This window comes from Homo sapiens, chromosome 17 (genome assembly GCF_000001405.40).
Source record: "Homo sapiens chromosome 17, GRCh38.p14 Primary Assembly".
Lineage (NCBI taxonomy): Eukaryota > Metazoa > Chordata > Mammalia > Primates > Hominidae > Homo > Homo sapiens.
The window spans coordinates 63,755,720-63,772,277 of record NC_000017.11 but is presented as its reverse complement, the minus strand read 5'-3'; the positions used below and the strand labels follow the sequence as shown (position 1 = coordinate 63,772,277).

Here is a 16,558-nt window from a genome sequence, read left to right as displayed (position 1 = left end):
CGTCTCAAAAAAAAAAAAAAAAAAAAACCCTTGGTACATATCTCCCGTAATACCCACTGCAGCCCTAAGAGGCAAGTAGCAAATGGTATCCCTTTTTTGTATGTGGAGAACAGGGAATTTTAAGTAATTAGGCTAAGGTCATATTGCTGGTAAATGGTAGAGCTGACATTTTATTTTATTATTTATCTATTTTTTTGAGACAGAGTCTCACCCTGTTGCCCAGGCTGGAGTGCAGTGGCGCAATCTTGGCTCACTACAACCTCCATCTCTCGGGTTCAAGCGATTCTCCTGCCTCAGCGTCCCGAGTAGCTGGGATTACAGGTGCCTGCCACCACGCCCGGCTAATTTTTGTATTTTTAGTAGAGGTGGGGTTTCACTATTTTGGCCAAGCTGGTCTCGAACTCCTGACCTCAAATGATCCACCCACCTCGGCCTCCCAAAGTGCTGAGATTACAGACGTGGACCACCACGCCTGGCCTAGAGCTGACATTTTAAACCAAGTCTAATTTCACCAAAGTATGTGCTGTTTTCTATATTTCTTCCACTTTTGACCAAATATCACAACATGAGAACTAGAGGGAAAGCCTAGAAAAACTAGAAGAGAAACTTTAACAGGTAGTAATTTAGAGGACTGAAGACCCTTAGGCCTAGTGGAAGTGGAAAATATACATTCCAGAGTTTAAAAACACTCATTAGTAACTAAAGATGGTTAAAGGAAGCTAGGGATGTTTAGAGACACATCCCATACCTCTTTGAGGCTGGCATTGACAAAGTGGCATGCTTTCCCATAGATTGTCCCTTGATACTAACCTGAAGGATCAACTAGTATAAAAAGAATGTTTAGTTCTCCCTTGATATGTATGGGGGATTGGTTCCAGGACCCCTTGAGAATACCAAAATCCATGGATACTCAAGTCCCTTATATAAAATGGTGTAGTATTTACGTATAACCTATGCACCTCCTACCATATACTTATATATGTATATGTATATACACTATATAATTATCTCTAGATTACTTATAATACCTAATTTAATTGTATTTTTTTTTAACTGTTCTTGCCTCCAAATCTGTTCCATCTGTGGTTGGTTGAATCCACAGATGTGGAACCCATGGGTAGGGCCTACTGTACCGTTGGCCTATCCTTTATGGCATTTCTCAAAATCATTTGTACCTTTCAAATTTTATGAACTTTAATTCTAAGAACATTTAATTTCTTTCTTTCTTTCTTCCTTCCTTCCTTCCTTCCTTCCTTCCTTCCTTTCTTTCTTTCTTTCTTTTTTTTTTTTTTGACACAGTCTCGCTCTGTCACCCAGGCTGGAGTGCAGTGGCATGATCTTGGCTCACTGCAATCTCCGCCTCCCAAGTTTAAGCAATTTTCCTGCCTCAGCCTCCCAAGTAGCTGGGATTACAGGTGTGTGCCACCATGCCTGGCTAATTTTTTGGTATTTTTAGTCGAGACGGGATTTCACCATGTTGACCAGGCTGTTCTCGAACTCCTGACCTCCGCTGATCTGCCCGTATTGGCCTCCCAAAGTGCTGGGATTACAGGTGTGAGCCACTGCGCCCAGCCTTTAAGAGCATTTAATTTCTTGAGCATCCATGGATTGCAAGGCATTCGACAATAACCTTCGATATTAAACTGATTTCTTTAAGAAGTTTCAGTGCTATAAATGAGATTTAGAATATTCTCCATCTCAGAGCACCTTGAAAGAGTAGTACATATTTCCCTTTGCCATACTCTCACTTCCGTTAATACTCAATTGCTTGCATTATGGCTTCCATCCTTATCACTTCCCTGCAGTTGCCAGTAATGATTTCATCATGACCTGGCCCCTGAGGGCCTTTCCAGCCTCCTTTCTCCCACTTGAGTCTACAAACCCAATGTCCTATCATACCAGGCTCCTAAAATATGCTATTTCAGGCCTCCATGCCAAACCTGTTCCGCAGTCTGCAATGCCTCTTCTCTAGTGACAAAAGTACACTACAGAAAAAAAAAAATTAGTCCGGGCACGGTGGCTCATGCCTGTAAATGCCTGTAATCCCAGCACTTTGGGAGGCCGAGGCAGGTGGATCACCTGAGGTCAGGAGTTCGAGACCAACCTGGCCAACATGGTGAAACCCCATCTGTACTTAAACTACAAAAAAAATTAGCCAGGCATGATGGTGAGTGCCTATAACCCAGCTACTCAGGAGGCTGAGACAGAAGAATCGCTTGAACCCAGGAGGCAGAGGTTGCAGTGACCCGAGATCACGCCACTACACTCCAACCTGGGCTACAGAGTGAGACTCTGCCTCAAAAAAAAAAAAAAAAAGAAAGAAAAATAAAGACAAAATATCCAGAATTCTACCATACAAGCTAACTAATATTTGTATGTAAATGTATGTTTTTCTAAACCAAGCTTGTCCAACCCATGGCCTGCAGGCCGCATGTGACCCAGGACAGCTTTGAATGTGGCCTAACACAAATTCGTAAACTTTCTTAAAACATTATGAGATATTTTTTAGCTTATTGGCTATCATTAGTGTTAGTGTATTTTATGTGTGGCCCAAGACAATTATTCTTCTTCCGTTGTGCCTCAGGGAAACCAAAAAATTTGACATCCCTGTTAAACTTTTTTGTTTTCTTTTTCTTTTCTTTTCTTTTCTTTTTTTTTTTTTTTGAGATGGAGTTTCACTCTTGTTGCCCAGGCTGGACTGCAATGGCGCTGTCTCGGCTCACTGCAACCTCCACCTCCTGATTCAAGCGATCCTCCTGCCTCAGCCTCCCAAGTAGCTGGGATTACAGGCGCCTGTCACCATGCCCGGCTAATTTTTGTATTTTTAGCAGAGACGAGGTTTCACCATGTTGGTCAGGCTGGCCTCAAACTCCTGACCTCAGGTGATCTGCCCACCTCAGCCTCCCAAAGTGCTGGGATTACAGGTGTGAGCCATCGCACACAGCCAAACCTTTTTCTTTATGTGCATTTGCTTCTAAAATGATCTGGGTTTCGACTTCATTTGTAACATTTTGTTTTTTTTTTTTCTTTTAGACAGCCTTGCTCTGTTGCCCAGGCTGTAGTGCAGTGGCGCAGTCATGGCTCACTGAAGCCTCAACCTCCTGGGCTCAGGTGATTCTCCCACCTCAGCCACCAGAATAGCTGGACTACAGGTGCACACCACCAGACTTGGCTAATTTTTTTTTTTTTTTTTTGAGACAGAGTCTCCCTGTGTCACCCGGGCTAGAGTGCAGTGGTACAATCTCAGCTCACAGCAACCTCTGCCTCCCAGGTTCAAGTGATTCTCATACCTCAGCCTCCCAAGTAGCTGGGATTACAAGTCACGCCACACGCTGGCTAATTTTTTAAATATTTTTAGTAGAGACAGGATTTTACCATGTTGGCCAGGCTGGTCTCAAACTCCTGACCTCAAGTGATCTGCCTACCTTGGCCTCCCAAACTGCTGGGATTACAGGAATGAGCGTGAGACTTGGCTAATTTTTAAAAGCTTTTTTGTAGAGGGGAAGTCTCACTGTGTTGCCCAGGCTGTGTAACAATTTTTTTTTAATTACTTGGGGGTTTTTCTTTTGTTATTTGTGTTTTGTTTTGAGGCACGTTTCACTGTCACCCAGGCTGGAATGCATTAGCATGATCACAGTTCACTGCAGCCTCGGCCGGCCTCGTGAGCTCAAGCAATTTTCTCACCTCAGTGCCCTGAGTAGCTGGGACTACAGGCACATGCCACCAAACCCAGCTAATTTTTCTATTTTGTTTGTAGAGGTGGGTTTTCGCCATGTTGCCAAGGCTGGTCTCCAACTCTTGGGCTCGAGCAGTTCACTCACCCCAGTCTCCCACAGTGCTGGGATTACAGGGGAGAGCCACCACCCTATGTAACAATTTTTAATGGACAACAGTAGCTTTGGTTTTTGATACATCCATAGTTTAACCAAAGAGTTTAACCAAATTTCACCATCATAAATAATATTGTAGCACATGTCCTTGAAGCTGAATTCCTGTGCAAATTTATGTTCAGTTCAGGAATTGTGCTTTATCTTGGCATAGTACCTACTGTGGCGATATGCTTAGTGAAGGTACATTTAATTACAGTAGGATCATTGTGAAAAGCAGTGAATGCCAAAGGAGTTTTTATATTACTTTGCAATAATTGGTTAGCCTTTGATGATTATTGAATCCTTATATGTAACAAAAGTTCTGTTTTAGACAGATGCTGGTAGTTTTTAGGGAGGAAAAGTAGGGAGTGGGGAGAGCATTAAGACGATACCATTTAAAATAATATGGTGGCTCTTCAGCAGGTGGGGGTAACTTGTAGTGGCTATAGGAATCAAAGAAGGAAACACCAGGATTTGATGGCTGATAGATTTCAAAGGAAAAAGAAGGCAAAACATTAGATATCTTGTTCTTTTCAACAAGCAAGACTGGAAAAATGTGATTGATATTAATATACGAATAGAGAAATTCAGATACCTGATGATTTTGAGATGACTATAGGCAGGGATTGGGTCAGCCTGAGGGGAGGCCTGTGAAGTAAGAATGGTCTTTATATTGTTTTAAAGTTTTTTTTAAAAAAAGAACAATATGCAGCAGAGACCAGTATGTACCCCATGAAGCCTAGAATATTTACTATCTTACTAGATACACGAAAAGTTTGTAGGGCGTCAAAACAGATATGTCTTCAAGGTTACAGTGAGTTATGACATAGGGCTGGTGTTTAGATGAGGGACAGGACTGGAAATACAGCCTAAATGGGTTTGATGGTTGAAATATACTTTTCAAATTTCAGCTCAAATGGTCTCCCCACTTTTTTTTTTGTAAAGCCTTACCTATTTGGGAAAATGGTTACATTGTTGTCCATGTTTTCATATAATTTGGCACATATTTTGTCACAGATATGATATCATTATATTTGTTAATGCAGAAGCTTTTTTCACGTATTAGAAAACTTAATGTTCTTCAAAAAGCTATAAAATGATGATACATTGAATTCCATCATACACACTAAGAACAATTGGTTAGCAAAAAATTACTGCTTCTAAGCAAGTAATATGAAAGCACAGCCACCTACCACATTTGAGATGCAGCCTGAGAAGTGGTTCATAGCATGGACTCTGGAGGCAAAACTCTGGGATTAAATCACAGCTCTTTGTCACTTGGTAGTTGTACTACTTAGCATCTCTCTGCCCCATTTTCCTTATTAGTGAAATGGGGATGTTAATGTTGCAGCTTTCCTTAGAGGGTTGTTATGAGGATTAAATTAGTTGCTTTTTGTAAAGTCTTTGGAACAGTGTCTAGCACATAGTGATTTAAGTGTTTGCTCTTATGATAATTATGTTCATGCATGAACACAAATCAATCTAAGGGTGAATGGCTTTTTTATTCATGGATTATTCTTGTTACCACTAACAGATAAATAGCTACATCTTATTCCTTCATTTTTACCTCCTTCTCATTTTCTATAGAAAGCTTTTTAATAGGCCCTCAAAAAATGCTTATTGAATACTCTATGTAAATGGACAGAGTTTTAGAAAACCCAACCTAAAGAAATTAAATGACTTGGGCTGGGCACAGTGGCTCACACCTGTAATCCCAGCACTTTGGGAGGCCGAGACAGATGGATCACCCTGAGGTCAGGAGTTCACAACTAGCCTGGCCAACATGGTGAAACCCCATCTCTACTAAAAATACAAAAATTAGCCAGGCGTGGTGGCACATGCCTGTAATCCCAGCTACTCGGGAGGCTGAGGCAGGAGAATCGCTTGAACCCAGGAGGCAGAGGTTGCAGTGAGCCAAGATCACACCATTGTGCTCCAACCTGGGCGACAAGAGCAAAACTCCGTCTCAAAAAAAAAGAAATTAAATAAATGACTTGATGACTTGTTGAAGATTTTACAGATATGTAGTGCCAGGATCCAGACTAGAACCCAAGCCTCTTGACCTTACTTCATTGTTCTTTATATAATGTGGTCTGAATCTAATAGTACCAAATAAGAGAAAAGCAGGAGAGGTTTATAGATTTTTACTGTTTATAAAATCTGATCAGTATGTATAGAATGGCAATCCATTTTGGGGTTCTCTTTTTTTTTAAGCTTTTTTTCTCAAGGTGCAATGAAAGCCTTCCACACTTTCTGTGTTGTCCTTCTGGTGTTTGGGAGTGTCTCTGAAGCCAAGTTTGATGATTTTGAGGATGAGGAGGACATAGTAGAGTATGATGATAATGACTTCGCTGAATTTGAGGATGTCATGGAAGACTCTGTTACTGAATCTCCTCAACGGGTCATAATCACTGAAGATGATGAAGATGAGACCACTGTGGAGTTGGAAGGGCAGGATGAAAACCAAGAAGGAGATTTTGAAGATGCAGATACCCAGGTGAGGCTCTTTTTATTAATTTATTGGAAAAATTTGTAACTAGCACCTTTCCCAAACATTAAAATTAATCCTCAGGCTCAAGAGACCTTTACTGTCTGGAGTCTTCATTTTCATTCACTAGGTAGAGCTCTTCTAAATGTTCTGTGGTAAGTTTCCACCTTTTACATTAACAGAATGAATTGTGTTCTTCTATTGAAACCCTGACTGGAAGAGGGGTTAGAGAATAGATACTGTTTGTGGGTGAGAATTGTATTATTTAGAACTTTGCAATTGGCTGGGCACGGTGGCTCATGCCTGTAATCCCAGCACTTTGGGAGGCCAAGGCAGGCAGATCACCCAAGGTCAGGAGTTTGAGACCAGCCTGGCCAACATGGTGAAACCCTGTCTCTACTAAAAATACAAAATTAGCTGGGCGTGGTGGTGCGTGCCTGTCATGTCAGCTACTTGGGAGGCTGAGCCAAGAGAATCGCTTGAACCTGGGAGGTGGAGGTTGCAGTGAGCTGAGATTGAGCCACTGCACTTCAGCCTGGGTGATAGAGCAAGACCTTGTCTCCAAAAAAAAAAAGAAAAGAAAAAACTTTGTCATCAAAAGCATGGGGACTCATCATTTTGGTGTTTTGGGTGCTCCCCAGCTTTATTGAGGTGTAACTGACAAAAATTGTATATATTTAAGGTGCACAACATAGTGTTTTGGTATACCTCTACATACAATATGAAGTGCTTACCACAATCAAGCTAATTAACATAGTTGCCTCCGTGTGTGTGTGTGTGTGTGTGTGTGTGTGTGTGTGGTGAGAATACTTACAATATATTCTCTTAGCAGATTTCAAGTCTACAATACATTATTATTAACTGTAGTCACCTTGCTGCACATTAGGTCTTCAGAACTTTCTCATTTTAAGCTGAAATTTGTACCCAATCGTTTTGTTAAAAACATGTAACATCTGTTTTCTGTGCTTGCTGCTTACACGTTCTTGTTTTCCCCAACAAATGTTGCCAACAAAATGAGACACAGCTGCTGGTGACATTTGTAGAGGAAAACGGATGATGCCTCATTTTTGTAGGAGGGAGATACTGAGAGTGAACCATATGATGATGAAGAATTTGAAGGTTATGAAGACAAACCAGATACTTCTTCTAGCAAAAATAAAGACCCAATAACGATTGTTGATGTAGGTATCCAGGATTCTGAATTCCCAACTAAACAACAAAATGTCTTGTCATCAATCCCAGAAATAAAATTAATGATGTATAGCTGGTGTTAATGCAATAGTGGGAGCTGAGAAGGAGCTTGACATCAATTTTTCTGATAAAAATCAACACCTCTCCGTCTCAAAAAAAAAAAAATCAACACCTACAGAAGCAACCCCTATTCATCATTGTAGCACTTCTAGTTTTACTACTTATCAGGGAATAAGTAAAATTTATTCCTTGGTGATGTACAGTACATTGAATTTATTTGGGGGTTAAGGACCAAGTGTAAAACAAAGGGCTTTCCAGCTTTTCATCCCATTTGATTGTCCTTATATTTCCTTAAAGAATCTTTTATCAAGCTAGCCTAGAAAAGTAAAATGGACCTATTTTTCAAAGTATAACCTTATTCAATGACAGATATCTGAAGTATCCCTTCTGTTTATGGATTTTCTCATTCTTCCTGCCATGAGGTAGATTTCATTCTTCAGTCTCAGCCAACATTTAATGGAATGATTTTGCTTTTTTAGGTTCCTGCACACCTCCAGAACAGCTGGGAGAGTTATTATCTAGAAATTTTGATGGTGACTGGTCTGCTTGCTTATATCATGAATTACATCATTGGGAAGAATAAAAACAGTCGCCTTGCACAGGCCTGGTTTAACACTCATAGGGAGCTTTTGGAGAGCAACTTTACTTTAGTGGGTAAGTGAGGCCAATGTCAGCCCAGCTTCTTGCTTGAAAACAATCTGGTAAGGATGATGTATTCCCCTCAGTATAAGCATCTAACTGCTTTCATGGAATACCAAAGAGGGTGCATTGTTTTTTCTCTCAAGGATTCCCCCTGCTCTTTTTTTTTTTAATTTAATTTAATTTTATTATTATTATTACTATTTTTGAGATGGAGTCTCACTCTGTCACCAGGCTGGAGTGCAGTGGCGCGATCTCGGCTCACTGCAACCTCCACCTCCTGGGTTCAAGCGATTCTTCTGCCTCAGCCTCCCAAGTAGCTGGGACTACAGGCGTGCACCACCATGCCCTGCTCATTTTTGTATTTTTAGTAGAGTCGGGGTTTCACCATGTTGGCCAGGATGGTCTCAATCTCTTGACCTCATGGTCCACCCACCTCGGCCTCCCAGATTGCAGGGATTACAGGCATGAGCCACTGCACCCGGCCTTTTTATTTTTATTTTTTTGAGGCAAGGTCTCACGCTGTTACCCAGGCTTGTGTGCAGTGGTATGATTACAGTTCACTGCAGCCTCGACCTCCCAGGTTCAAGAGATCCTTCCATCTTAGCCTTCTGAGTAGACAGGACTACAGGCACATGCTACCACACCCAGCTAATTTTTGTATTTTTTTTGTAGAGACAGAGTTTCATCATATTGTGCAGGCTGGTCTCGAACTCCTGGGCTCAAGCAATCTGGCTGCCTTGGCCTCCCAAATTGCTGGGATTACAGACGTGAGCTACTGCATCCAGCCTTGAGGATCCTGTTTTTTGGCCCGGTGCGGTGGCTCACACGTGTAATTCCAGTGATTTGGGAGGCCAAGGTGGGAGGATTATTTGGGGCCAGGAGTTTAAGACCAGTCTGGGCAACATAGTGAGACCTTGTCTCTACAAATAAAATAAAATAAAAATTGGCCAGTCACAGTGGTGTGCTTCTGTGGTCCCAACTACTTGGGAGGATGAGGTGGGAGAATTGAGCTCAGGAGTTTGAGGCTGCAGTGGTACAGAATCATGCTCCTGCACTCCAGCCTGGGTGACAGAATGAGACCCTGTTTCTAAAAATAAGAATATATTGTATTTAATAATTTTCTCATCTTTCATGAGTCAGCAGTAAAATTGCTAAACAGCTTCTGATTAGTATAATGTAATCGATGTTTTCAAAACAAGTTGATAAAATTCTGACGGAAACCAAGAAAGTTTGACATTTTAGGTAGCTTGATAAATGCTCTCAATTCATCTTTTAGAAATTGAAAGTCCCTCAAAATTCCCTTAGAATCTGACACTTGAGTTTTGGATCCACTGCTGAAATATACATTGAAGGACTTCAAGGAACCTCTGTAGTTGTGCAATGTAGGGAATGAGGTGGACTAACCTCACATTCACCTATTTGGCATTTAGCACCTTATTTCTCTTTAATAGTAAGCATGTATCCACCTGCTCTGCAACACAGTAGTGTTTATATATTATGCTAGATACTTTGCATACAGTGTTTCTTATTTACTTTTTGTAACAACACTGTCAATTGGCTATAGTTGCTGTTTTCCTAAGGAGGAAACTGAAGGGCAGAAATGTTAAAACTTATCTAAGCTGTTAAATTGCAACCAAGATATCAGAACTTATCTACCTGTTTGCAAAGTCCACCCCGTCTCCACTATACCATAGTATTTCAGAGTATGTTTTGACCAGGAAATTCGAAAAAAAATAAATGAGCAGCTTTGGCTCCTTCTACTTCCCCTTGCTTGTTTTCATTTGGTGTATCAGTCCGTTTTCCCTTGTGAGGTTGAGCAATTTCTTTTGTATACTTAATGAATTAAATGAAGAGAGAAAGTATTGGAATTTGAGCTTTTTTCTAGAGTTAAAATACAACTCTTAATACCATTAGTAAGACCCAGTTATCATTTTGCATTGGAAAAGAAAGCTTGGTTAAAGTTAATTCATAGGAGACATAGTGAGAAATTGTTGAGTAGTTTGTATTAATGGTATTTTTTATTCACTCCATAGGAGTTTTTAACTTTTGGCAGAGATATTTCAACTGATTTTTTTCCCATTTTGTATGTACTCTGAGAGACTTATACTCTAAGCTGATCATCGTTAAACTGACAAGCATGTGCTTAGAATCCATATTTCTTCTAATACAGACAATAGTTTTAAAAGTAAAACGAACAGTGCTAATCTATTTCAGTCCCTGTCCAAACAGTTCTATAAGACAGCAAAGTATTGCTACTCTGAAGCTGTGATCATTTTGTGGTCAGGGTAGAGGAACGTGAGGTATTCGGCCTTGTTTCCTTTTTTTTTTTTTGAGACAGAGTCTTGCTCTGTCATCCAGGCTGGAGTACAATGGTGCGATTTCAGCTCACTGCAACCTCCGCCTGCCGGGTTCAAGCTATTCTCCTGCCTCAGCCTCCTGAGTAGCTGGGACTACAGGTACGCGCCACCATGCCCGGCTAATTTTTTATAATTTTTTTTTTTTTTTTTTTTAGTAGGGACAGGGTTTCACCATGCTGGCCAGGCTGGTCTCGAACTCCTGACCTCGTGATCCACCCACCTCAGCCTCCCAAAGTGCTGGGATTATAGGCGTGAGCCACCACCCCCGGCCCGGCCTTGACATTTTCTGTTGAGTCACATTAAGTGGTTTTACCCCTAGGGGATGATGGAACTAACAAAGAAGCCACAAGCACAGGAAAGTTGAACCAGGAGAATGAGCACATCTATAACCTGTGGTGTTCTGGTCGAGTGTGCTGTGAGGGCATGCTTATCCAGCTGAGGGTAAGTAGGAAACTTCTTGTACGATATATATCTTCCCTTAATTTTGTCCAGTTGTGATTCCCAGCCCCCCAATTCAGCATCTTATCCCTTCATGTTTGACTTAAAATGAGGTCTAAAAGTGATATTTATACTAACTGGCAAATGTGTCGTAAAGTATATTTGATGAAGCATTTGATTCTCCTTCAAGGCCTTTTTTTTATACTAAGTAGGAGTTGCAGTTGGATTTACTTACTTCTCTCATTTTTTTCAGTTCCTCAAGAGACAAGACTTACTGAATGTCCTGGCCCGGATGATGAGGCCAGTGAGTGATCAAGTGGTATGTATTCTTCCCGCTGGTTTTCTGTGTACAGACTGAATTATTTGTTTTCTTTCTTTCTTTTTTTTTTTTTTTTTGATGGAGTCTCACTCTGTTGCTCAGGCTGGAGTGCAATGGCATGATCTTGGCTCACTGCAACCTCTGCCTCCCGTATTCAAGCAATTCTCCTGCCTCAGCCTCCCAAGTAGCTGAGATTACAGATGCCCACCACCACGCCTGGCCAATTTTTGTATTTTTAGTAGAGTCAGGGTTTCACCATGTTGGCCAGGCCAGTCTCGAACTCCTGACCTCAAGTGATCCATCCACTCTGGCCTCCCAAAGTGCTGGGATTATAGACGTGAGCCATCACGCTTTCCCCAGACTGAATTATTTCCTAGAGCTTTTTCCATTTCTGCCTGGATTGTGTTTGGAGTTTCTGGCAATTTATGTCCCTTGACAAAAAATGGACCCTTTTTCTCCTTGGACAGAGCATCATCTTCCACTCTGTGCAACTGTCAGGGGGCCTTCATGGGCCTTTTGGTAGGAAAGAGGTGATACTCTGTCACCACATAGATCAATGGAGTTAGCCTTGACAATAGAGGGCAAAGCAATTGTGAAAGGTAATGGCCCTCATGGGTAACTTGGCTCCTTGTATATGTTTTTATCTTTGGCAGATAGCTGGGTTTCTTCTCAAATATGTTTTGCTTCAAATAATACGTTTCTGGCCGAATAAGCTCCAGTCATGATCTGAGGACCTTATGTTTGGTGTATCTTCTTTCCTTTATTAAATCAATATGTTTATCTGCAAATTGTGTCCTTTGTCACAAATACCACATTCCTTCTTCATTGTTTCTTTTTTTTTTTTTTTTTTTGAGACGGAGTCTTGCTCTGTTGCCAGGCTGGAGTGCAGTGGTGCAATCTCGGCTCACTGCAATCTCTGCCTCCTGGATTCAAGTAATTCTCCTGCCTCAGCCTCCCGAGTAGCTGGGACTACAGGCGTCCGCCACCACTCCCAGCCAATTTTTTGTATTTTAGTAGAGATGGGGTTTCACCATGTTGGCCAGGATGGTCTCGATCTCCTGACCTCGTGATCCGCCCGTGTTGGCCTCCCAGAGTGCTGGGATTACAGGCATGAGCCACTGCACCCGGCCTCTTCATTCTTTCAATAAATAATTATGCTGGCTCCCACTGCTACAAGAAACAAAAATATAGAAGACAGTTTTTTTCTTTTCTATAATAGAACAAGAGATAGATATGTATATATGTGAAAGTGTGAAATAGTATTTGGTTAGTAAGTGCTTTGTTAGTGATGTAAATTGGGTACTTTCAAATGTTATTGGATTGAAAATCATTGTTTTATATATATATATATATATATATATATATATATATATATATATATATATAAATATATATATATATATATTTTTTTTTTTTTTTTTTTGGGAGACAGAATCTCACTCTATCACCCAGGCTGGAGTGCAATGGCTTGACCTTGGCTCACTGCAACCTCCGCCTCCAGGGTTCAAGCGATTTTCCTGCCTCAGCCTCCCAAGCAGTTGAGATTACAGGCGCCTGCCACCATGCCCAGCTAATTTTTGTATTTTTAGTAGAGACGGGGTTTCACCATGTTGGTCAGGCTGGTCTCGAACTTCTGACCTCAGGTGATCCACCCGCCTCAGCCTCCCAAAGTGCTGGGATTACAGGCAAGAGTCACTGCACCCAGCCCCACTGTTATATTTTAAAGATCTCATTTTTACTTGTAAACCTGTATTTTTATTTCAGTTTTTCTAACATGGCCATGATGACTTAGTCCACTAAAATTTAGAACCCTATCAGTTAATATTTCTGTCATCCTTTCTCCCACAAACTGCCATCTTATTAGGAGGAAAGTTTGCTGTATCCTCAGCCATCTTTTTGTAAAAATTATTCTTTAAAAGTGTTTTAATCATTTTCAGTTCTCATTCCCTCTCTCTCTCTCTCCTCCTGCTAAGAGAAATTGCTTCAACAAATATGTGGCTCTTTATATTTTATTTGCCCCTTTTTTTGGAATTCTGTTTAAGGTTTGCTTTGTGTAATTTCCCATCAATGATGGAAGAGCAGAAAACGTTTTCTTTTACAGCTGCCATCTTACCAGTTCTTTTCCTATATTAACATTTTCCTTCTTCCATATACTAAAAATTATTTCACCCAAGCATTTAAAGATGTAATTAATATAACAAATATATCATATCAGACTCTTTTAGGCTTATAATTTTTTATCTTTCTGGCCCAGAGTACTAGTAACTGTTTACTTGTCTGGACTGTTTTCCAATACAAACAGCCAATTCTCAGATTCTCTGTATACCAACTGGGTATCCCACAATTGAATTCAATAATAATAATAATTCTTTTTAATTTTGTAAATTTAAATTTTTTTTTTTTCTAGAGACCGAGATTTGCTATGTTGCCCAGGCAGTTCATGTTGCCCTGTCCTTAAGTGATCCTCTCACCTGGGCCTCCCAAAGTGCTGGGATTACAGGCATGAGCCACTGTGCCCAGCCTCAATTCAGTTCTGACACTATCTACCTGGAGTTAGCTTCAAATCCTACAGATTAAAGGGCTCAGCCCCACAAGACTGCCCCACTTCAGATGCAGTCGAATGTCCCAGGTTACCCATACTACCATCTGGACTTCTGACCAACTAACTATTAATCGGGTTCCTATGACCTCCCCACTCAACCAATAATTTGTTAGAATGGCTCATAGAACTTGAAAAGACACTTATATTTACTGGTTTATTATAAGGGATAAAACTCAGGAGTAGCCAAATGAAAGAAAGACACAGGAAGAAACAGGGTTGGGAGTCGTTCGGAGCTTTCATGCCCTCCCTGAGCACACCACCCTCCCAGCAGGTTGATGTGTTCACCAGCTTGGAAGCTCTCTAAATCTTGTTCAAGAGTTTTTGTAGAACTCAATTTCGTCCTCCCTCTCTTTCACGGAGGTAAGGGCAAGGCTGAAGGTCTCTACCCTCTAAGCACTTGGTTTTTCTGGTTATCGGCACCATCCTGAGGCTAACTAGGGTCTATGTTAAGTCACCCCATTAGAATAAACTCAGGTGTGATTAAAAGGGGCTCAGTATAAGTAACAAAAGATACTCTTGTTATTCAGGAAATTCAAAGGGCTTTAGGAGCTCTGTGCCTGAAACCTGGGATAAAAACCAAATATATTTCAGTTTATTCCACATTATTCCATTTAGGTTTTGTTTATTTTTTATTTTTGGACTTGAGTGCTCCTGTGTGAAGTATTGAGTGTATTCGTGTTCTATTACTACATAGCAAATTACCCAAGTGTAGCAGCTTAAAACAACCCTCATTTATTATGTTACCGTTTCTGCAGGTCAGAAGTGCAGCATGTATTGAGTGGGTCCTCTAGGGTTTTAACAGGCTGAAATCAAGATGTCATTCAGGTTAGAGTTCTCTGAAGCTTAGGGTCCTCTTAATGTCATTTGGGTTGTTGGCAGAATTCAGTTCCTTGTGGGTGTAGGTTCCTGTTTTCTTTTCCTTTTTTTTTTTTTTTAATTTTTTTTGAGACAGGGTCTTGCTCTGTCACCTAGCATGGAGTGCACGATCATCACTTACTACAGCCTCCAGCTTCTGGGGCTCAATCGATCCTCCTGCCTCAGCCTCTTGAGTAGCTGGGACTACAGGCATGCATCACAATGCCTGGCTAATTTTTCTTTCTTTTTTTTTTTTTTTGTACAGATGGGGTCCCATTATGTTGCCTAGGCTGGTCTTGAACTCCTGGGCTCAAGCAGTCTTCCTCCTTTTGCCTCCTAAAGTGCTAGGATTACAGGTGTGAGCCACCATGCCTGGCCTTTTCTTTCTTTTTTAGAGATCGGGTCTGGTCTCAAACTCCTGACATCAAGCAGTCATGCCTCAGCCTCCCAGGTAGCTAGGCTTAAAGGCACGAACTACTGTAGTCCCTATTTTCTTGCTAGCTGTCAACTGGGAACCACTCAGTTCCTAAAGGCCACCCTTAGGTCTTTACCATATGTGCCCTACCGCCAACCTTCCCATAAGCCCTTTCATATTTTGACTTTCTTCTTCAAGTAGGGCTATAGTCCCTTTTAAGGACTTGCTTGATTAAGTTGGATACACCCAAGATAATGTCCCTTTTGGTTAATTCACAGTCAGCTGATTAGGGACCTTCTGCCATAAAACAGCCTGATTATGGGGGTAATATTCCATCATATTTGCAAATCCCAATCACTTAAAGGGAGAGTATATGCACCAGCGGGGAGGGAATCTTAAGGGTCATTTAGAAATCTGCCTATCACAGAACCTAACAGGTGAATTTTGTTGTTTTTTACATTTTTTTAAAAGCAAATAAAAGTAACCATGAATGATGAAGACATGGATACCTACGTATTTGCTGTTGGCACACGGAAAGCCTTGGTGCGACTACAGAAAGAGATGCAGGATTTGGTATGTCAGGTTGCTCCAACTCAAATATACGTAGAACTGTGTCTCCTTAGCACACACATATTCAGCTTCATTGCATAATAAAAGGTCATATCTTACTTTCAATTACTTCTTCCTCTAGAGTGAGTTTTGTAGTGATAAACCTAAGTCTGGAGCAAAGTATGGACTGCCGGACTCTTTGGCCATCCTGTCAGAGATGGGAGAAGTCACAGACGGAATGATGGATACAAAGGTAAATGCGACAGAAGACATACATTTGCCAGGCCTTGGCATTTACAGGACACTCTCCCTAAAAGTCTCATTGTACAAGTTCATCATTTTATGGCAATGTATTAGTTTTACATTCCTTTCCCACACAAATATTAAAATACCTTCTTTAAGCAATAAATTAGCTTGTCAAAAGGACAATTTGATTAGTCAAGAAGTTCTCTAAATCAAGAGCAAATTGTTCCTGGGATTGCTAATGACTTTCAGGTTTTTTTTTGAAAAAGGAATATAGCTTCTAATCTTTTTCGTCATGTCATTTAGTCTTTTTTTTTTTTTTTTTTGAGCTCCAGTTTGTGTGGGAGAAGAGGGATGTGTAGAGAGCCCTCCTCCTTTGTTTTTAAAAAGATGGGGTCTTGAGATGTTGCCCAGGCTGGAGTGCAGTGGCTATTCATGTGTGTGATAGATCTCACTGCAGCATCAAAAACTTCTGGGCTCAAGTGTTCCTCCTGCCTCAGCAAGAGCCCACCATTGTGCCTGGCTGAGAG

General features: G+C 40.9%; 1 protein-coding gene across 2 annotated transcripts in view; it reads left to right on the top strand.

Annotated features, from left to right (window-relative positions):
- The window catches only part of CCDC47 (coiled-coil domain containing 47), a 28,343-nt gene that overhangs the window by 1,320 nt on the left and 10,465 nt on the right, over positions 1–16,558 (top strand). For both annotated transcript variants that reach the window (NM_020198.3, XM_005257527.3), the window contains exons 2-8: positions 6,084–6,366; positions 7,431–7,538; positions 8,088–8,262; positions 10,927–11,048; positions 11,299–11,364; positions 15,708–15,809; positions 15,928–16,038. In NM_020198.3, the coding sequence (NP_064583.2) occupies positions 6,103–6,366; positions 7,431–7,538; positions 8,088–8,262; positions 10,927–11,048; positions 11,299–11,364; positions 15,708–15,809; positions 15,928–16,038 (948 nt within the window). In that variant the 5' untranslated portion in view covers positions 6,084–6,102. The remainder of the gene's footprint in view (positions 1–6,083; positions 6,367–7,430; positions 7,539–8,087; positions 8,263–10,926; positions 11,049–11,298; positions 11,365–15,707; positions 15,810–15,927; positions 16,039–16,558) is intronic.